This window comes from Homo sapiens, chromosome 5, assembly GCF_000001405.40.
Source record: "Homo sapiens chromosome 5, GRCh38.p14 Primary Assembly".
Taxonomy (NCBI): domain Eukaryota; kingdom Metazoa; phylum Chordata; class Mammalia; order Primates; family Hominidae; genus Homo; species Homo sapiens.
The window spans coordinates 14,638,995-14,662,188 of NC_000005.10; the positions used below are offsets into that span (position 1 = coordinate 14,638,995).

Here is a 23,194-nt window from a genome sequence, read left to right on the forward strand (position 1 = left end):
AATTTGCATTTCTCTGATGATTAGTGATGTTGAGCATTTTTTCATATGCTTGTTGGTCACTTGCATGTCTGCTTTTGAGAAATGTCTGTTCCTGTCCTTTGCCCATTTTTTTTTTCAAGGAATATTTCATAACAAGGTAGGTAACATGTTTATCTAACAGGAATTTTATGTCACTGCCACTAAATCAAAATATCCTGTTCACTGGGTAAAAGACCTGCTTTATGTGTGTACACTTCAGTACAATTAAAAGAATACTGTAATTATAATTCAGAACTTCTGAATTTCAACTGATGCCAGTGTTCTCTCCTTTTTTCATATGGGAAAATTCCTCTGAAAATTATTTGAAGCTTGGACAAAAATTCCACAGCTGTATTCCTCCGGATCACTTTGCAGAGTCTTCAAGATTCAGATAGAGGGGAAGCTTCAATTCAACCTTTCAGAGAAAACATTCCAGCTTGCATGATCTCATCAACCAAGAGAATGTTGGTGGCAATCACAGTGCAGGAGTGAAGAAGCTGTTTCTTTACACAATAGTTATCCCATATGCCTACTTCTGCTGCTACCATTGGCTCACCTGTATCCAGGTCCACACCCACAAGCTGACCTGATTCTGAACATTCTGCTTGAATTTTAACTAATGTTTCCTGAAGGTCAAAACCAGAGTTCTGATCAAGAACCTTTGGAATAATGAGCAACACATCAGCAAATGCTTGGACTCCAAGCTGTGCCCTGCCCTTTACACTGGGCTTATATTTAATCAGGGCTTCTGCCATTGCTACTTCCACAGCACCAGCACCTGGAAACACACAGCCCTCATCAATAGGATTTTTGACAGCCCTCAAGCCATCCCTTACTGCATCTTTGGAGCTGAGTGAGTGTGTACTTATTTGGTCCTTTGTTTAATAATGTGACAGAGCGAGTATTGTTACATTTCTCAATAAAGGTGAACTTCTCTTCTCCCAATATATATTTATATACAAGTCCTGCATGTCCCAAGCAGTCAGGATTTAGGTTTTCAAAAGAATTCAGGGCTACCTCACCAGAAGCAAGAGTCAGCCCCTCGATATTTCTCCTTTTAGCTCTGTGAAGAGTGACTATGTGTTCTTTTGCAAGAGCATCTAAGGAAAGGGGGTCAATTCCCTCTTGATTAATAGCAACAAATCCTTTATCTGAATCACCACAGACTTTCCTTTTCAGTTCTATTTTTTAACTCTTATCTTCAATGAATTTTCTTTCAGCTTTTATGAGTTTTTCTCTCATTTCTGCAGTCTTGTAAAAAAAGCCAGAATTCACTTATGTTTTTTCATATTCTAATGACACGTTACACTTGAGAATGTATACATCCTCCACCCTTTTCTTCATATCAGGATGCCATGCTCCGTGGTCCAAAACAAGCCCTCTGATTAAGCTTGTATCAGTTTCAGATTTATGTTTCATCTCCATGATCACAACCATGAAGAGATCAATAGGTTCATCTTGTCTTTTAATGGCCAAAATGGAGTCCACTACAGCCTCTGTTAAGGCATCTGCAAGTTCAGCATGAACTTTAGTATGAAGAGATGTTCTGGCCACATTTATAAGTGTTTCCCTGTCCATCTCTTTCCTTATTTTGACTTCTTCCAAAAACCGAAGGGCCTTTTCCTTTGCAGCTTCAAATCCTTCAGTAATTATTCTGAGATGAAGGCCTTCAGAAATGTAGAGATCCTCCTGTTTCAGTAGCTTTTCAATGATTAGGACATTGGAAGTTGTACTATCACCAGTTATATCATCCTGGGCTGTTGCTACCTTTGCTATTAAGGAAGCTGTTGTGTGTTGAATTTGCATTTCGTGAAACAGCACATTGCCATCTTTTTAGTAAGCTTGATGTCTCCAGCGCCAGAAACAAGCATATTCATTGTGCCCTTGGGCCCCAGGTTGGTTCCCAGCACGTCCTGCAGACCCTGCATTATGCTGATGTTGACCGCTAGCGCCACCTCCGTTCGGGCCACCTCAGCCTTGGGGTTTAGGGTCTTCACCACTGCCATAGCTGCTGCAGTAGAGGAAAAGGAAGCGATGCGGCATGGACAGCCTAGAGCCGGTGTGGCCCTTTGCCTATTTTTTAATGGGGTTACTTTCTTCTAGGATTTTTAGTTTCTGCTCTTGTGTTTGGGTCTTGAATCCAACTTGAGTTACTAATTTTTGCATATGGTGAGATGTATGGCTCCAGTTTCATTCTTCTATATATGGCTATCCAGTTTTCTCAGCACCAGTTAGTGAATAGCGTGTCCTTTCCCCAGCGTATATTTTTGTTGACTTTGTCAAAGATCAGTTGCTTGTAAGTATGTGGCTTTATTTCTGGGTTATCTATTCTGCTCCATTGATCTATGTGTTTATTTTTTATACCACACCATGCTGTTTTTGTTACTACAGCCTTGTTATATAATTTGAAGTCAGGTAATGTCATGCCTCCAGCTTTTTTTTTGAGATGGAGTCTCACTCGTTGCCAGGGCTGCTGTCACAGCTGGCTAATTTTTTTTTTTTTTTTTTTTTTTGTATTTTTAGTAGAGATGAGGTTTCACCATGTTGGCCAGGTTGATCTCAAACTCCTGACCTCAGGTGATCCTCTCGCCTCGGCCTCCCAAAAAGTCCTGGGATTACAGCTGTGAGCCACCACGTTTGGCCACACTCAGCTAGTTTTTGTATTTTTAGTGGAGACGGGGTTTCACCATGTTAGTTGGCCAGGCTGGTCTTGAACTCCTGACGTCAGGTGATCTGCCCACCTTGGCCTTCCAAAGTGCTGGGATTATAGGAGTGAACCACCACACCTGGACCAGCTTTGTTCTTTTTGCTTAGGATTGCCTTGGCTGTTCAGGCTCTTTTTAGATTCCATATGAATTTTAGGATAGTTTTTTATTTATTTTATTTTTTTTTAGTTTTTTCTAATTCTGTGAAAAATGTATGTTTTTGATAGGGATTGCAGTGAATCTATAGATTGCATTGGGCAATACAGTCTTTTTTTTTTTTTTTTTTTTTTTTTTTCTGAGACAGAGTCTCGCTCTGTCGCCCAGGCCAGAGTGCAGTGGCGCAATCTGGGATCACTGCAAGCTCCGCCTCCTGGGTTCACACTATTCTCCTGCCTCAGCCTCCCAAGTAGCTGGGACTACAGGTGCCCACCACCACACCTGGCTAATTTTTTGTATTTTTTGTAGAGAAAGGGTTTCACCATGCTAGCTAGGTGGTACAGTCATTTTAATGATATTGATTCTTCTAATCCATGAGCATGGGATATTTTTCCATTTGTTTGTGTCATCTACAATTTCATTTATCAGTATTTTGTAGTTCTCCTTATAGAAATTATTCACCTCACTTGTTAAACATATTCCTAGGTATTTTATTTTGTTTGTAGCTATTGTAAATAGAGTTGCCTCCTTAACTTGGTCCTCAGCTAAATCACTGATGTAGACAAACACTACTGATTTCTGTACATTAATTTTGTACCCTGAAGCTTTACTGAATTCATTTATCAAATCTAAGAGGTTTTTTGGTGAAGTCTTTAGGGTTTTCCAGATATAAAATCATATCATCAGGCCAGATGTGGTGGCTTACACCTGTAATCCCAGCACTTTGGGAGGCTGAGACCAGTGGATCACCTGAGGTCAGGAGTTTGAGACCAGCCTGGCCAACATGGTGAAATCCTGTCTCTCCTAAAAATACAAAAATTAGCCAGGCATTGTGGCTGGTGCCTGTAATCCCAGCTACTTGAGAGGCTGAGGCAGGAGAATCGCTTGAGCCTGGGAGGCGGAGGTTGCAGTGAGTCGAGATCGCACCACTGCACTCCAGCGTGGGTGACAGGTGAGACTCCATCTCAAAAAGAAAAAACAAAACAAAACAAAAACCATATCATCAGCCAATAGGAATAATTTGACTTCCTCTTTTCCAAATTGGATGCCTTTTTTTTCTCTTGCCTGACTGCTCTGGCAACGACTTACAGTACTATATTGAATAAGATTTGGTGAAAGAGGATATCCCTGTCTTGTTCCAGTTCTTGGAGGGAACGCTTTCAAGTTTTCCTTGTTAAGTACGATGCTGGCTATAGGTTTGTTATATACTGCCTTTATTAAGGTGAGGTATGCTCCTTCTATGCCTAGTTTGTTGAGGATTTTTATCATGAAGGGATGTTGAATTTTATCAAATGCTTTTTCTGTATCTATTGAGATGATCATTTGGTATTTGTCCATTTGTATATGTGATGTATCACATTTATTGATTTGCATATGTTTGAACCATCCCTGCATCCCTGGGATAAATTCTATGTAATCCTGGTGTATTATCTTTTTGCTGTGCTGTTGGATTCAATTTGCTGGTATTTTGTTGAGGGTTTTTTTTTTTTTTTTGCATCTAATTTCATCAGGGATATTGGTCTATAGTTCTTTTTCTTATTGTGTCCTTGTCCGTTTCTTCATATCAGAGTGATACTGGCCTCATAGAATGAGTTAGGGAGAATTCTTTCCTCCTTTTATGGAATAGTTTCATGAAGATTGGTATTAACTCCTCTTGGTATCTATCTTTGTGTGTTTGGTAGAATTTGGCTCAGTTAATAAAAATCTTACCCCCACAAAAAAAGCCCAAAACCAGATGGTGAATCCGTCTGGTTTTGGGCTTTTCTGGGGTTGGGGGAGATTTTTTATTACTGATTCAATCTTGTTACTCATTATTGGTATGTTTGGGGGTTTTTTTTCCTTCTTTATTTTTAAAATTTGTGTGGGTACATAGTAGGTGTCTATATTTATGGGATACATGAGATGTTTTGATACAGGCATGCAATGTGAAATAAATACATCATGGGGAATGGGATATCCATCCCCTCAAGCATTTATTCTTTGAGTTACAAGCAATCCAAATTACACTCTAAGTTATTTTAATATTCCAGGATTTAATTTCTTCCTAGTTCAATCTTGGGAGGTTGCTTGTTTCCAGGAATTTAACCACTGGAAAATAATTTTTTTTTTTTTTTGAGACGGAGTTTTGCTTTTGTTGCCCAAGGTAGAGTGCAATGGCGCAATCTTGATTCACTGCAACCTCCGCCTCCTGGGTTCAAGTCATTCTGCCTCAGCCTCCTGAGTAGCTGGGATTATAGGTGTGCGCCACCACGCCTGGCTAATTTTTTGTATTTTTAGTAGAAATGGGGTTTCACCATGTTAGCCAGGCTGGTCTCGAACTCCTGGCCTCAGGTGATCTGCCCGTCTCAGCCTCCCAAAGTGCTAGGATTACAGGCGTGAGCTACCACACCTGGCCAAGAAAATCTTAAATGTGGTCTGGCAATCCTTCAGTGGATCTATGAGGTCAAAACCAATTTCTTAATAATACTAAATGTTATTTGTCTTATTCACTCTCAATCTCTCATGAATATATTGTGGAGTTTTCCAGAGTATGATATTGCAGCTGTTTGAATACAGAAGCAGACCTGAAAAATCTAGCTTCATTCTGTTAAGGCAGATATTAAAGAGATTTGCAGAAGTTGAAACAATGTTACTTTTCTCACCACTTTTCAGTTTTGGAAAATACAGGTTTTCAATATAAAAAAGTTACTTATGGTAACGTGACATGAGTTATTTTTTTAAAAATTAGTATCTATTAAAAATTTCCCCAATTTTAATATATAATCCAATAAATATCAATATGTAGAACCCACATAAACAAAAACACATTAAGGTCCTGTTTTAAAATGCAGGTTTTATTATCATTCAGGTATAGTGAGGCCAATAGATCAGGAGATGACTGCCATTGAAAGGATAGTTTGTTACTCACAGTTCCCAAAAGGAAGGAGCACACACCACAGCATTCAGGGCCACACAAGGAAGCACCAGGGTCTGCTGGGAGGCAGGAATGAGGGGAAAGCATGGGCAAGAGCCTTGATTGTGATGTGTGCATTCAGGAATGGGTGAGAAAGGGTAAGCAGGCTTAGAATCAGCTAATTTGAATAATTTCAGCGGGCTCCAGGGTTGTCTCAGAGTGGTCTGGTACCTTGCCCTCAGGTGATTAAGACAGGGGAATAGTGCTCTGAAGTTGAGTAGCCCTGTGAGAGTCTGAGAAAGGGAACAGCTGGGGGTATGGGCTTTTGATTGGATGGTTTGCATATACAAGTTTGGTCACAGGATAATTGTTTTCCATCTCTAGGAATAATTAGCTACCTCTGGGAGGGGTAGCCTTTGCCTGGTCAGCAAGGCCCCAGACACCAAAGCATACAAAGGATACAGAAATGTAAAACATACAGTTACTACAAGTCCTTAATAATTTTTAAGAGTATAAATAATGTAGGGATGTTCTGAGACTAAAATGCTTGTGAGCTTCTGGGCTAGGTCATGCACGGTAACAGAGAAGCCCCAAATCCCAATGGCTTAACATGGCAAAGAGGTTTTTTTCTTTTCTCTGCAAAGTCTTCACACTTCCAAAAGGCAGTATAAAAAATATTTTAAAAGTGAAAAAAAAAAAGGCCATAATGTCAGAACAAAGGAAAATCATTTTAATTACTTTAGCTTAATGAAAAATTCCATTATGATTTTTCTCTTTTTTCTTCATAAATTAGTGAAATTTCAGCACTACTTAGGACGGGTTCAGGGACTGGTGCTTGGCAGTTTCTGACGTCTAGGACAATTATGGATAGAAACGATGCGAAAGGAAGAAAAGACTTTGTTTATGCTGGGAGAATTTAGCAGAGAGAGAGAGAGGCTGAAGATACTGGAAAAAGAGGCACTCAGTGGAAACCCTGGAGGATGTGAAAGGGAAAGAGGGGGGATGGTCTGAAATAGGAAAGACAGCTCTTCCTCAGAAACTGGCTGGAAAGGAGGTTGAGACAGCGCCCTTGAAGATAATTTAGTTGGGGGAAAGAGAAAAGCTAAGAGTTCGCCCTCAATGGCACTGATTTTCTCTATGACTCACAGGCAAATTCACTGCATAAAGTCAAGAGGGCACTGAACGATGAGGGCTTCAGAGACCCACTGCAGGACTTGCGGAAGGGAGCAGGGCAAGAACATAAGATGATGGCGCAGAACCGAAAGCCCAGCTGAGTTTAGGCTTTAAATAGTAATAGCATGAAGCACACAGTAGCCTAATTTTTCTAACTGTGCTCCTTCATCCTGGCTTTTAATAGAGGAGGAGTTGGAGGTGGGGATAGAGAATTGATGCTTATCAAGAGGTAGCGTGGTATGGCGCTTAAGAACATGGCTGTTGAAGCCAGCTGCCTGGGTTAAAATCCTCTCTGCCACTTACTTTCCTATTCAGTAAAATGGGGCTAATAATAGTCTTGTGGTGTTTTAATGAGGACAGTAGTTGGTTTGAGGATGACACAAATATCTGCTGTGGATTGTCCTTCCACATCCTCACTGTTGGGGGGTCAAGGGATCTACCTTGGTTTCTTGGGCTTCTGTGCATGATGGACTCTTGAAAAGGGACAAGCCCAGTTCCTCTCCTCTCCCTGCCCATTTTCTTTGTGGTGTGCCCTGCTCAGTCTCCTCATCGTTGGTCCTCATTATCCTCTCTGATTGTGGTGGGTTTTCCCCTATTCTCTTTCCAAACTGTTTTCTGGCATAATCTGTAAGCCTTACAGATCAGAACTTTAGTTTTGAGTCTCAAAGTCTTTTCTTCCTTTCGCATCGTTTCTTACCTATATTAGAAGTAAACTATACTAACTTTTTGTATATTTTTACTTTAATAATCCTAGCCTACACATTCACCTCCTGGCTCTCCAGAGACCTCTGGATCACTGAGAAAAGGTCACATATGGATGATGTAAAAGGTAAAAGCATAAACATACACTTCAAAAAATCTCTTTTTACTTGTTACCTCTCTTAATTCTCCTATAGGTAGATGTTCTCTTCCTTCTACATACCCAAGACTGATGCTCAGAGGATTAATAACCTGCTCAGAATTGCACAGCCAGTTGCTGCAGAGTAGCAATTCAATTCTATGCCGTGCACTTACAGTTCAATAATCCACATTCCCTCAAACAAACGGCTGAACTGGTCCAGGGTTGAGGGGTAGAGGGATGGTGGCACTTAGGACAAAGAGGTGAGAGAGTTGTAGGTGTTCACGAGAGTAGCTGCTTACCGTAACCAGCAAAGGCAAGAGGGTACAGGGGTGTGTGCAGAGAGGGGGGCTGACAAACAGGGAGAAAGGGAAGGAGCAAAGGAGCTGCAAGTCACAGTGCAATTGATGAACAAATGGGAGAGATGAAAGGAGAGGTGACCTGACGGAGAGTGGAATCCAAAGTTGACTATTTTAAGGGTATTGGTCCACTTCTGGATGATGACAAGGTCTAGAGTGTAGCCACTGGACTAAGCTGATGAAGAGAAGTTAAAGCCAGTGGTGTGGACATTACGGATTGTTTCAGTTGTTTGTTTGAGTGAATGCTGAAATTAATAGATCTGTTGCTGAAGTCCTTTATAAATGTTTGAGAGTGATCTTGAAAAGTAGGCAGGGACCAAGGCAGCAGAGGGGCCCACAGATGGTCCAAGGGTGGGGCCTCCCACAAAGAGGAGAGTTTTGGAGGCAGGAAGAATCAGTGTTTTTCGTTGTTGTTGTTGTTTTCTGAGGCGGAGTCTCCCTGTATTGCCCAGGCTGGAGTGCCGTGCAGTGGTGCAATCTCGGCTTACTGCAACCTCCTCCTCCCGGGTTCAAGAGTTTTTCCTGCCTCACCCTCCTGAGTAGCTGGGACTACAGGCGCACGCTAGTAGTCCCATGCCCAGCTAGTTTTTTTGTGTATGTATACATTTTTTAGTAGAGGCGGGGTTTCATCATATTGGCCAGGCTGGTCTGGAACCATGCCCAGCTAGTTTTTTTTGTATATATATATATATATATATTTTTTTTTTAGTAGAGATGGGGTTTCACCATATTGGCCAGGCTGGTTTGGAACCATGCCCAGCTAGTTTTTTTTGTATATATATATATTTATTTTAGTAGAGACGGGGTTTCACCATATTGGCCAGGCTGGTCTTGAACTCCTGACCTCGTGATCCGCCCACCTCGGCCTCCCAAAGTGCTGGGATTACAAGCGTGAGCCACTGCACCCAGCTGAATCAGTGTTTTTGTTTGTTTGTTTTTTTAATTTGAATTTTATTTTATTTTTTTGAGACAGAGTCTTGCTCTGTCGCCCAGGCTGGAGTGCAGTGGCGCAATCTCGGCTCACTGCAAGCTCCACCTCCTGGGTTCACACCATTCTCCTGCCTCAGCCTCCCAAGCAGCTGGGACTACAGGCGCCCACCACCACGCCCGGCTAATTTTTTGTATTTTTAGTAGAGATGGGTTTTCACCGTGTTAGCCAGGATGGTCTTGATCTCCTGACCTCGTGATCCGCCTGCCTCGGCCTCCCAAAGTGCTGGGATTACAGGCGTGAGCCACCGCGCCCGGCCCGAATCAGTGTTTTTAACTGTAGTACTTGGCAGTTCTCACATGCAACTTCATTTGGTCCTCCCAGTAATCCAGAGAGATGCACACAGGACAGGAAATATACTTTTTCCAAGAAAGCCAGCTGTTAAGTAGCAGCATTTGGACTCAGTTCAACTCTCCTGGCTGTAGTTTGTTGTGAGAGCCTTATTCCTCTACATAATATTCACAGTAGGAAATCAATCCCTTAGAAAGAAAACTTCTTTATAGATTCTTTCTACACAGAAAAGGAAGATTTCTCTACGTTTTCTTCATTCCAGACTGCTAAAAAACTAGGCTGTAATGGTGGGGAAGAGCTATCGGGCTGACAGGAACTGGCTCAGGGCAAGGTCTTGTGGTGCCACCTAGTGTCCATGATTGGGTTTATCCACAAAGCTTTGACTAAATTATATGAAAAATAATGTAAGGAAATTGCAAGTAGCTGATTAATTTTGCAGGAGAATAGCTATTAAAACACCTAACAGTTTTCTCTCTCTACCAGGAAGATTTCTTATTCTGGCCTCTTGACTACCCCAAGGACCAGACCAATTCACTAAGTTACTTTGTTGGATAAAACAGAAATTATGACCTAGTGAAGTCTAAGGTTACTTAAAATTAACATGTTCCATGAGGTCTTAGATCATTCTGTACAGTGGAAAGAACACTAGGCTTGGTGCTCTGACCAGTTCAGGTCTTAACTCAGTGGGATGGTGTATGAAAAGTGCTTCATAAACTATAAAGTGCTAAGCAAGTGTTAGATATAGTGATAATTTCACAAGCAGTGTTCTGGACCTTTGACACACCTCCCTTCTAATCCTCATATTTATAAGACAGCAGGTACTATCCAGATTTTGCATCAAAGAAACTGAGGCTCAGAAATGTTAAATAACTTGCCTAAGGTTACATAGCTATTTTTTTCTCTGCCATACTATATGGTCATTATAATACTGACATAAGGAATTAATATTAAATCATGTAACAAAAATTTATTAAGGAGCAGTGTATACTATACACTGGGTTAAGAATAAGGTATATACAGATCAATAAATATTATGGACTGAATGTTTGTGCCCCTCCCCCACCATTCATATGTTGAAGCTCTGACCCCCAATGTGACTGTATTTGGAGATTAGGCCTCTAAGGAAAAGCAGTTAAGGTTAAATGAGATCATAAGGGTAGGACCCTAATCCGTGGGATTACAGTCAGCTCTCTGTATCTGCCGGTTCTACATCTGTGGATTCAACCAACTGAAGATTTTTTTTTTAATTCAGAAAAAAATAATTAAAAATAATACAACAAAAAATAATACAAATAAAAAGTTTAACAACTATTTACATAACATTTACACTACATTAGGTATTATAAGTAATCTGGAGATGATTTAAACTATATGGGAGGATATGCATAGGTTATATGCAAATGCTACACCACTTTATATGAGGAACTGAACATCCTCAGATTTTGGTATTCATGAGGGGTCCTGGAATCAATCCCCCATGGATACTGAGGGACAACTGTATGTCCTTATAAGAAGAAAAGCTGGCCAAGCACAGTGGTTCATGCCTGTAATCCTAGCTCTTTGAGAGGCCAAGACAGTAGGATTTGCTTGAGGCTAGTAGTCTGAGACCAGCCTGGGCAACACAGTGAGACTCTGTCACTACAAGAAATTAAAAAGAAAATTAGCTGGGCATGGTAGCATGTGCCTGTAGTCCTAACTACTCAGGAGGCTAAGCCAAGAGGATCGTCTGAGCCCTGGACTTTAAGGCTGTAGTAAACTATGCCACCGCACTCCAGCCTGGGTAGCAGAACAAGACACTTAAGAAAAAAAAAAAAAAAGGAAGAACAAAGCTGAACAAAGCTGGAGGCATCACATTGCTTGATTTCAAAATACGCTACAGAATGACAGTAATCAAAATCAGCATGCTACTGGCATGAAAACAGACACATAGACCAGTGAAACAGAAGAGAGAACCCAGATATAAATGCATACATTTACAGTCAACTCATTTTTGGTACAGGTGCTAAGAATGTACAATTGGGAAAGGAGTGTCTCTTCAATAAATGGTAATGGGAAAACGGAATAACCATATGCAGAAGAATAAAACTAGATCCCTCTTACCACATACAGAAATAAAATCAAAATAGAGTAAAGACTTACATCTAAGACCTGAAACTATGAAAACTACTAGAAGAAAAAAATGGGGAAATGCTCCAGGACATTGGTCTGGACAAAGATTTTTTTGTGTAAGACCTCAAAAGCACAGGCAACCAAAGCAAAAACAGAATGGGATTACATAAAACTAAAAAGCTTCTGCACGGCAAAGGAAACAATCAACAAAGTGAAGAGTTCGAGACCAGCCTGGGCAACACAAGGAGACCTCGTCTCTACAAAACATAAAAAATTAGCTGGGCGTGGTGGTGCGTGCCTGTGTTTCCAGCTACTCTGGAGGCTGAGGGAGGAAAATCACTTGAGGCCAGGAGTTCAAGACCAGCAGCCTGGGTAACATAAATGAGACCCTGTCAAAAGAAAGAAAGAAAGAGAGAATGAGAGAGAGAGAGACAGACAGAAAAAAAGAAAGAAAGAAAAAAAAAGAAAGAAAGTGATATATATACACAATAGAATGTTATTCAGCCACAAAAAAGAATGAAATCCTGTCATTTGCAGCAACATGAAAAAAAACTGGAGGTCATTATGCTAACTGAAATAAGTCAAGCACAGAAAGCCACACATTTCATGTTCTCAATCATATGTGGGAGACAAAAAAAAGTGGATCTCATGAGAGTAGACTGGTGATTACTAGAGGTTGAGAAGAGTAGGGAGGAGGAGGGATGAAGAAATGTTGATTAATGGGTAAAAATATATAGTTTGATGGAAGAAATGAGACATAGTGTTTGATAGATCAGTAGTTACAATAATCTATATTGTACAGTCCAAAATAGCTAAAAGAGAATTTGAATGTTTCTAGCATTAAAAAAAACAAATATTTAAGGTGATGGACATCCCAATTACACTAAGTTGATCTTTACTATATGAATGTATTATCACATGTCCCCCAAAATATGTACATTATATATAAAATAAAATAAAATTTTCTATGAGAAACTTAGTTTTAAAGGATATAATTTCCATTGTATTATAGATATTTTAAAATAATCATGACTTATTTCCGATAGAATCTAACACACTAGAAATTCATTATCATTCATAAAAAACTATAATTTTACATCATTCCTTTTTTCTTTTTTTTTCTCATTAAACTTTTTTAATGGGTCTCAAAATTCTGTGACAAATTTTTGGTCAAGTTGTTTCCATTAAAAAGTACTGATTTTAAAAACTAATAACTTAAAACTGCCACATGCAAAAAAGAAAACCAAAGTGGTCCACAAAACATTCTCCTTTCCTTCTGAAGGTTTTACGATGCATTGTTATCATTAACCAGTCTTTTACTACTAAACTTAAATGGCCAATTGAAACAAACAGTTCTGAGACCGTTCTTCCACCACTGATTAAGAGTGGGGTGGCAGGTATTAGGGATAATATTCATTTAGCCATCTGAGCTTTCTGGGCAGAGTTGGTGACCTTGCCAGCTCCAGCAGCCTTCTTGTCCACTGCTTTGATGACACCCACCGCAACTGTGTGTCTCATATCACGAACAGCAAAGCGACCCAAAGGTGGATAGTCTGAGAAGCTCTCAGCACACATGGGCTTGCCAGGAACCATATCAACAATGGCAGCATCACCGGACTTCAAGAATTTAGGGCCATCTTCCAGCTTTTTACCAGAACGGCGATCAATCTTTTCCTTCAGCTCAGCAAACTTGCATGCAATATGAGCCGTGTGGCAATCCAATACAGGGGCATAGCCAGCGCTTATTTGGCCTGGATGGTTCAGGATAATCACCTGAGCAGTGAAGCCAGCTGCTTCCATTGGTGGGTCATTTTTGCTGTCACCAGCAACGTTGCCACGACGAACATCCTTGACAGACACATTCTTGACATGGAAGCCCACACTGTCCCCAGGAAGAGCTTCACCCAAAGCTTCATGGTGCATTTCGACAGATTTTACTTCTGTTGTAACGTTGACTGGAGCAAAGGTGACCACCATACCGGGTTTGAGAATACCAGTCTCCACTCGGCCAACAGGAACACTACCAATACCACCAATTTTGTAGACATCCTGGAGAGGCAGGCGCAAGGGCTTGTCAGTTGGACGAGTTGGTGGTAGGATGCAGTCCAGAGCCTCAAGCAGCATGGTTCCACTGGCATTGCCATCCTTACGGGTGACTTTCCATCCCTTGAACCAAGGCATGTTAGCACTTGGCTCCAGCATGTTGTTACCATTCCAACCAGAAATTGGCACAAATGCTACTGTGTCGGGGTTGTAGCCAATTTTCTTAATGTAAGTGCTGACTTCCTTAACAATTTCCTCATATCTCTTCTGGCTGTAGGGTGGCTCAGTGGAATCCATTTTGTTAACACCAACAATTAGTTGTTTCACACCCAGTGTGTAAGCCAGAAGGGCATGCTCTCGGGTCTGCCCATTCTTAGAGATACCAGCTTCAAATTCACCAACACCAGCAGCAACAATCGGGACAGCACAGTCAGCCTGAGATGTCCCTGTAATCATGTTTTTGATGAAGTCTCTGTGTCCTGGAGCATCAGTGATAGTCACATAGTACTTGCTGGTCTCAAATTTCCACAAGGAGATATCAATGGTGATACCACGTTCACGCTCAGCTTTCAGTTTATCCAAGACCCAGCCATACTTGAAAGAGCCCTTTCCCATCTCAGCAGTCTCCTTCTCAAATTTTTCAATGGTTCTTTTGTCGATGCTACTGCATTTATAGATCAGATGGCCAGTAGTGGTGGACTTGCCCGAATCTACGTGTCCAATGACGACAATGTTGATATGAGTCTTTTCCTTTCCCATTTTGGCTTTTAGGGGTAGTTTTCATGACACCTGTGTTCTGGCGGCAAACCCGTTGCGAAAAAGCCATCATTCCTTTTTCTTATTGAATTTCCTTTCTGTTTCCCATTCGCAGAATTCTACTTAATGCAATATATTTTTATGTTTGAAGGTCTTTTATTACTTAAATTTACTTGAAAGTTTCATTGTAACATTAGCCATAAAAATCTGATCAAAACAGCATATTTAAATGTTGGTAATTGTTACATATACTTAGTAAAATTTGATTATAAACATCTCTTTCAAAATCTATTGATGAAAGCTGGGCATGGTTGCTCATGCCTGCCATCCCAGCACTTTGGGAAGCCAAGGCAGGGGAATTACTTGAAACCAGGAATTCAAGACCAGCTTGGACAACATGGTGAGACTCTGTCTTTATAAAAAAAATTAGCTGGGTGTGGTAGCATGTGCCTGTAGCCTCAGCTACTCAGGAGGCTGAGGCGGGAGGATTGCTTGAGCCCAGGAGTTTGAGGCTGCAGTGAGCTATGACTGCACCACTGTACTCCAGATCTATTGATGAATATGATTTACTGTTAGAAAGAGATAGGATTTAATTCAATTCTATTCCTATTTTTGGATTTTATAAACACTATGAAACACTGTCCTTATAAATAGGTGGAAATAGTTTTGTTATCACAAAATCAAATCCTTGAGCTTCTGAATTGCATGGCAAAAATATCTTAGTAATCTCTCATGAAATATTATTTTTAATCATCAGCTAATAACTTTAGGCTGTCCCTCAAATTTGTTCAAAGCAAGGAATTAGAAATCACCTGAATTTCAAAGGAATGATTATCTAATTATTAAGAGTAGATCTCCTTTTCCATTTCTGGGATGTACAGTAAGGCAGCCATCCCACTTTAAATCTTCATTCTAAGGTGAACATTAGGTAAGGCAGAGAGCTTTACCATGAGTCTGTCACCTTGATGACATAAGATGCCACCAATACTTTTTACCAATACTCTCTGCTTTGTTCTTCCAAGACTCCCTCAAGAGCAAGTCATCTTTTAGGGAAACTAAAAGCTTGAAAGTTGAGTCTCAGAGAAGTTAAATACTTGCCCAAGGTCACATAGCTAGTTTTCTGTTTGCTACACTACATCACCCTTACTAACCCACTCTATGATACATCTGAGTTAACATACTGGCAAAAATACTCCGCTTAAATATCAAAATACCCACTCTTAAGGGAAGAAAAGGAAAGACTTGAAAGAAAGAAACCAAATGCAAGTTTCCGGTGCCTTATTGTAGGCTTGTCTGAAAGAAGTATTTAAGTTGTCCATCTGATTTGAAGCTCTAGAACACCACCATGCAATAGAAATATAATGTGAGCTGCATCATACATAACTTAAGATTTTCTAGTAGCCATATTAAAAAAGCTAAAAGCAACAGTTGAAATTAGTATCTTATATAATGCAGTATTTCCAAAATTTTGCCAACATATAATCAATATTTTAAAATTATAGGCTGGGTGTGGTGGTTCATGCCTGTAATCCCAGTACTTTGTGAGGCTGAGGCAGGAGGATCGCTTGAGCCCAGGAGTTTGAGACCATCCTGGACAACATAGTGAAACCCTCTGTCTACAAATATAAAAAATTAGCTGGGCATGGTGCTGTGCATCTGTAGTCCCAGCTACTTGGGAGGCTGAGATGGGAGGATCACTTAAGTCTGGGAGGTCGAGACTGCAGTGAGCTATGATCATTCCATTGCACTCCAGCTTGGGCAACAGAGTGAGACCCTGTCTCAAAAAAAATTATGTGATTATTTTACATTCTTTTTAGGGGGTGTACTAAGTCCTTAAAATCCTGTGTTTTTCACAAACAGCAAATCTTAATTCTGACCAGCTACATTTCAAGTGCTCAGGAGGCACTCTTGCCTACTGGCTACTGTATTGGACAATGTAGCTCTTGAGGCACACACTGTAGAAAGGTTTGGCATGGCTGAGAACCTTTTGTTATTTCGTTAAGCAGGGATATGGTAAACATGAAGGAAGTGGTTAGAAAGGAGCACAGGCCTATTTACGCCCTCAGGCACCTGTAAAGCGTATCTTCTACTCCAGGGCCTTTGCTGCACAGCTGTATAAAATTGGTGTTGCTGCACCTCAGGAGATACAAGTGCCTCAGTTTGAAGACCACTATTTTAAGATGGATTCTGGCTGCCAAGGTCTATAGGAATGATGCAATAGTGATGAAATTCTATACATTCTTATTCCTAAATTCTGGACCAAGACGAAAGAAAAATGTGTGAGACAAAATATTAGCAGAAGATCCAGAAAGCCCTTGTGACTTTGCCAGTAATATCCTGGTATGATTTTTAAAGATAAGGTTGACAACCTACCTTCTCACAAGTAGAGTTTTTGGTAATAGTAGGTATATTAGTTATGGTTCTCTAAAGAGACAAAACTAATAGGATTGATGTATATATAAAGGGGAGTTTATTAAGGAGTATTGACCCCCATGATCACAAGGTGACGTCCCACAATAGGCTGTCTGCAAGCTGAGGAGCAAGGAAGCCAGTCCGAGTCCCAAAGCTGAAGAACTTGGAGTCCAATGTTTGAGGGCAGGAAGCATCCAGCACAGGAGAAAGATGTAGGTCAGAAGACTAAACCAGTCTAGTCTTTTCACGTTCTGCCTGCTTTTATTTTAGCTTTTTTTCATGTTCTTCTGCCTGCTTTTATTCTAGCTTTTTTTAATTCTAGCCACCTAGATTGAGGGTGGCTCTGCCTTTCCCAGTCCACTGACTCAAATGTTCATCTCCTTTGGCAACAAACACCCTCACAGACACACCCAGGAACAATACTTTGCATCCTTCAATCCAATCAAGTTAACACTAAATATTAACCATCACAGTAGGGTGATGCTTTTCCTTGTGACTACCATGGAGACAAGGTCAGGCTGTGAGAGAATCATCAACCTAACATCAGACTACTTGAGGAGGTGAAGGTTTCCTGTAAGTGACAAAGGGTCTCTTCCTTACCTTTATTTTCTTAGGAAACATCTATGATTTGTCCCTCTAGCTCTTTTTAAGTTCCACTATGTGACATCAATGATGGGCTTCCTTTCCAAAGAAACCCATATGCTTGTCCTAAAAGGTAAGTGTAGGGAATTACTCTGTAGGGAATTACCTGGCCCTAGCAGACCAAGATACCAAGACTAGATGGCTTAAATAACAGATATTTTCTCACAGTACCGGAGGCCGGAAAGTAAGATTGAGGTGCCAGCTGATTCAGTTTCTGGTAATGGCTTTCTTCCTGGTTTTCAGATGGCTGTCTTCTTGCTGTGTCCTCACACAGTGAGCTCTGGCATCTCTTCTTCTTATAAGGACACCAGCCCCTTCATATTAGGGCCCAACCCTTTTGACCTCATTTAATCTTTATTTTGACCTCATTTAACCTGTAATCCTTGTAGGCCCTATCTCCAAATATAGTCACATTGGGGGTTAGGACTTCAACATATGAATTTTGGGGAGACACAATTCAGTAATTCAATCTATAGCAGAAACTAAGCTACCAAGAGTATGGAATTCCATTTCAGAAGCTCTCCAAAAAAGTTAAGATTATCATCTGCCTGGATGATTCTTAAGGGTGAAATTCCGTTTAGCTAGAGGCAAATGACTGATTTAATATTTTCCAGAACTCCAAGTCTGTGAATTATAATGGCATCATTCTCTCTCCTCCTTATATATAAAATGGTTTCATTTTCATGATAAAATAAATTTCATTATGACCCATACTTCTCCCAATAAAAACTCCTGGGGAAAGTTTTGGGGGTTTCCAGGTAAACTAATTTTACAGCAAGATATTTTTTCTATTGAGCGATTTCCTCTATTTTTTCTCTATAAAGTTATTTCCTTTAGCTTCAAAACTACAAAAGCATAGTAGGTTTTTTCCCCCTCTAATTCTGTTTTTTAAAAATGGGCATTCAATTAAAACCTAGATGATGGGTTGACAGGTGCAGGAAACCACCATGGCACATGTATACCTATGTAACAAACCTGCATGCTCTGCACATGTATCCCAGAACTTAAAGTAAAATGAAAAAAATAAAAAATACAGAAATGGGCATTCAATAATCAAGAGGCATTTTGAATAAGTCTTTAAAATTAATACTTGAGTATTCCTAGAGTAGTTAATTTCTAAGTGAAACTGACAATAGTTTCTTCCAAAGCTTGGTTACAGTCCATGAACCTATAAAACTAGAATAAACTAAAAAGTACCTTTCCTGTGAGTACTTTAGAGATTGATGTACAGAATACACTTCAAATCTAATTTTTATTGCTGTGGCACTGGGAAATTCCAGAGAGTATAAAAATATAGGGTATTTTAACCTGACTGTAAATTATGAGTTTATAGTATTGAAAAGGGGGAATATGCATCCAACTTGTGTTAAGCTCCTTAAAGAAAATTTTTAAAAATAAGAACACTGTAATGGCTTAGCATTGTTCTTTGGGAACAGTTATTACAAGTAAGGACTACAGCATTCAGTGAAAAGGAATGTGGAATCTTTCACATATTAAATATTCTAGGCATGGCCACTGAAGCAGATATATAAATTCAAGGTGATTGATTGAAAATGTAAGTTACCAAATATTTGCAAATTACAATACCGTATTTATCTAATGTTTGATTCTAAGAAGAAACTGAAAACTGACGCATTGTTTGTAAGTGATTACATAGACTTTTACTTAAGCTTATGGGTTTTTATGTTATTTATCTTGACATAAGCATAGGCTGTTATAATTATATCACAGTTCATGGGTTTTATTCTCATGACTGTCTCTAAGAAACCCTAGTGTTTGGCCGGGCGTGGCGGCTCATGCTTGTAATCTCAACACTTTGGGAGGCCATAGCGGACAGATCACTTGAGGTCAGGAGTTGGAGACAAGCCTGGCCAACATGGTGAAACCCTGTCTCTACTAAAAATACAAAAAAAAAAAAAAAATTAGTTGGGCGTGGTGTCAGGCGTCTGTAGTCCCAGCTACTTGGGAGGCTGAGGCAGGAGAATTGCTTGAACCGGGGAGGCAGAGGTTGCAGTGAGCTGAGATCACGCCACCGCACTCCGGCCTGGGAGACAAAGCGAGACTCTATTTCAAAAAAAAAAAAAAAAAGAAAGAAAAAAGGAAAAAAAAAGAAACCCTAGTTTTTGACTTATTTATTTAATACACATATACATCCCTCTAATCATTTTGTTCTGTAATATCAGTAAAAATTAGCATATCCCAAATATGAATATATTAAAAACTCACGCTGCATCTCTGTATTTATTATGTACACCAGAAACATACACACAATAGAAATTTTAAAAGATAAAGACAAAATGATTTAACATTTAATTTTTAATTTTTTTTTTTGAGACGGAGTGTCACTCTGTTGCTCAGGTTGGAGTACAGTGGAGCAATCTCGGCTCACTGCAACCTCCACCTCCCAGGTTCATGTGATTCACCTGCCTCAGCCTCTCGAGTAGCTGGGATTACAGGTGATCACGACCATGCCCAGCTAATTTTTGTATTTTCAGTAGAGACAGGGTTTCACCATGTTGCCCAGGCTGGTTTCAAACTCCTGACCTCAAGTGATCCACCTGCCTTGGCCTCCCAAAGTGCTGGGATTACAGGCATGAGCCACCACGCATGGACAACACTGAATTTTTTAAATTAAAGTACAAAGTTAGAACAATGACTGGATATTCTTATTTTGGAAGGTCTTGGTTTAACATTTTATGATATGATGGTTTGAGTTTATTTATTTATTTGGAGACAGGGTGTCACTCTGTCACTCAGGATGGAGTACAGTGGCACGATCTCAGCTCAGTGAAGCCTCTACCTCCGAGGTTCAAGTGATTCTCCTACCTCAGTCTCCTGAGTAGCTGGGACTACAGGTTTATGCCACCACACCGGGCTAATTTATTTTTTGGTAGAGATGGGTCTTTACCATGTTGGCTAGACTGGTCTCGCACTCCTGATCTCACGTGATCCACCCACCTAGGCCTCCCAAAGTGCTGGGATTATAGGTGTGAGCCACCGCACCCCACCTGGGTTTTATTTTTGATTAAAAAAAAATAGAGACCTTATTTTTTAGAACAGTTTTAGATTTACAGAAAAATTGAGAAGATAGTGCAGAGTTCCTGTATACTCTGCATCCAACTTCCTGTATTACTAACATCTTACGTTATTATGGTAAGTTTGTTACTTTTTTTTTTTTTTTTTGTGAGACAGGGTCTCATTCTGTCACCCAGGCTGGAGTGCAGTGGTGCGATCATGGCTCACTGTTGCCTCAACCTCCCAGGCTCAACAAGTCTTCCCACCTCAGCCTCCTGAGTAGCTGGGACCACAGGTGCACGCCACCACACCTGGCTAATTTTTGTCTTTGTAGAGATAGGGTTTCACCATGTTGCCTAGGCTGATCTTGAACTCCTGGGCTCAAGCAGTCCTCCTGCCTCAGCCACCCAAAGTGCTGGGATTACACCCAAAGTGAACCACTTCATTTGTTACAATTAATGAACTAGTACTGATATATTAACTAAAGTCCATGGTTTATTCAGATTTCCTTGTTTAACCTAATGTCTTTTTTTTGTTGTTGTTACAGGATCCCACCCAGGACACCAGAATTACATTTAGTTGCCATCTCTCCTCTTCGCTGTGAGTTTCTCATACATTTCTTGTTTTTGATGACCTTGACAGTTTTAAGAGTACTGGTAAAGTATTTTGTAGGATGCCCCACTAATGGAATTGTCTAATTTTTTTTTTTTTTCTAATTGGACTGGGGTTGTGGGTTTGGGGGAGGAAAACCACAGAAGTACAATGCCATTTTCATCTGATCATATGAAGGTTACATGCCATCAACATGATTTATCACTGAGCTCAGGTCACGTATTAACTTGGTGGCCTGTTTTTAAGTTTTCAGTTTCTAAGATCCAGTAGCAAACCAAAAGTTGTTCCTTAAAAGTAGAGTAGTTACCCACAATGACAGAGATTTGCTTCAAAATCCTAAGGGTTTGTACTGTGATTCACCTATGGTTGCTTGCCAAAATTCTAAACAGTGTTTACTTATCTTTTGGGAGAAAGGGCCTTGCTCTGTTGCCTAAGCTGGCGTGCAGGGGCATGATCATAGCTCACTCTAACTTGAATTCCTGGGCTCAAGGGATCCTGCCTCAGCCTTGCAAGCAGTTAGGACAGACTACAACTACAGGTATGCACTACCATACCTGGCTAATTACATTTTTTTTTTTTTTTTTTTTTTTGTGGAGGTGGAGCTGGTCTCAAACTCCTGGGCTAAAGTGATCCTCCCCCCTTGGCCTCCTAAAGTGCTGGGATTACAGATGTGAGCCACGGTGCGTGGCCTCTCAATAACATTTAAGTCGGCCATTGACACTTTAAGTACCATCAGATCTGCTGGATCATATGGCCCAAATGGCAGAGCAACTTGCCCAATAGCCTGGACCTGTTGTAGAGCCTTCTCTTCTCCTACTAGGTATTGTGGTGTGTGTGTGTGTGTTTTTTTTTGGTTGTATAAGGGGCCAAATGCAACAACTTATTCTTCAGCTTACAAGTGGTATCTTGACATGTCCTATACTGGTCCCCTAGGAATTTCATGAGGTGGAGGGCCCCAGATGTTTTGTGACACTTATTTCCTGTCTTCAGACATGTAAATATTTTACCAATATGTCTAGAGTAATTGCTACTTCCTGCTCACCATGAGTAATCGGCATAATATCATCAATGTAATGGACCAGTACGAAGTTCTTTGGAAGGGGAAGACTAAATTATGACATAGGGCTAAAAGGTTGATATAGCCCTGTAGTGGGACAGGAAGTTGTACAGTGGTCTTGCCAGTTGAAGGTAAATTCCTTCTGATGGTATTTTCTAATAGGTATAGAGGGAAAAAGCATGTGCCTGATTAACAGCTGCATACCAAGTACTAGGAGATGTGTTGATTTGCTCAAGTAATGAAGCATCTAAATGGCAGTGCAACTGGAGTCACCATGTAATTAGGTTTATAAGAATCTATTGTCATTTTCCAAGATCTATTTCTGTTTTGCACATGCCAAATAGGCGAGGGGAAAAGAAATGTAGTGGTTATCACCACCTCTGCAACTTTCAAGTCTTTGACAGTGGCACTTATCTTTACAATCTCTCCAAGAATGTGGCATTGCTTTTAGTTTGCTATTCTCATAGGTATAAGCAGTTCTAGTGGCTTCCACTTGGCCCTTCCCGTTACAAGTCTTTACAGGTCAGGGAACCAACATGGGGATTCTTCCAGCTGTTGAGCCTATCTCTGTTTGTTTGTTTTTGAGACAGAGTCTTGCTCTGTCGCCCAGGCTGGAGTGCAATGGTGCAATCTCGGCTCACTGCAACCTCCGCCTCCCAGGTTCAAACGATTTTCCTGCCTCAGCCTCCCGAGTAGCTGGGATTACAGGTGTCTGCCACCACGCCCAGCTATTTTTTTTTGTTGTTGTTGTTGTATTTTTAGTAGAAACGGGGTTTCACCATGTTGGCCAGGCTGGTCTTGAACTACTGACTTTGTGATCTGCCCTCCTCGGCCTCCCAAAGTGCTGGTAATACAGGTATGAGCCACCGTGCCCGGCCAAGTATATCTCTTTTAATTATGCATTCTGGAACTGGGGAAATAGCACAGGATGGGTCCAGGGACTCAACGGGTCTAATGAGAGATGAACCTGAGCTGAAACTCCATTGATCACTCGACCTCCATTAAGCCTCTACTCTGACTGGTAGGCCGAGTAAAGCTTTTGGTTTCCCCAGATTAGTATCAGGTCAGAGCCACTGTGTAGTAATCCCTGACAAATCTGATTATTTCTCTTCCCCCAATGCACAGTT

The 23,194-nt window shown here is 40.5% G+C and overlaps 1 non-coding gene and 2 pseudogenes across 1 annotated transcript, besides 2 other annotated features; all 3 read right to left on the reverse strand.

Moving 5' to 3' along the window:
• Window positions 1-217: 217 nt before the first annotated feature.
• Window positions 218-2,084, reverse strand: CCT6P2 (chaperonin containing TCP1 subunit 6 pseudogene 2; annotated as a pseudogene).
• Window positions 9,681-9,730: an enhancer, noted in NCBI's record as "active region_22407". NCBI's record gives its function as "activates an Ori minimal core promoter by ATAC-STARR-seq in GM12878 lymphoblastoid cells {active_cell/tissue: GM12878}" and the evidence as "EXISTENCE:reporter gene assay evidence [ECO:0000049][PMID:35858748]".
• Window positions 9,781-9,850: an enhancer, noted in NCBI's record as "active region_22408". NCBI's record gives its function as "activates an Ori minimal core promoter by ATAC-STARR-seq in GM12878 lymphoblastoid cells {active_cell/tissue: GM12878}" and the evidence as "EXISTENCE:reporter gene assay evidence [ECO:0000049][PMID:35858748]".
• Window positions 12,649-14,395, reverse strand: EEF1A1P13 (eukaryotic translation elongation factor 1 alpha 1 pseudogene 13; annotated as a pseudogene).
• SNORD141B (small nucleolar RNA, C/D box 141B) lies at window positions 13,284-13,388 on the reverse strand. Its single transcript, NR_132981.1, has one exon. It is a non-coding gene; the product is annotated as a small nucleolar RNA, C/D box 141B (small nucleolar RNA).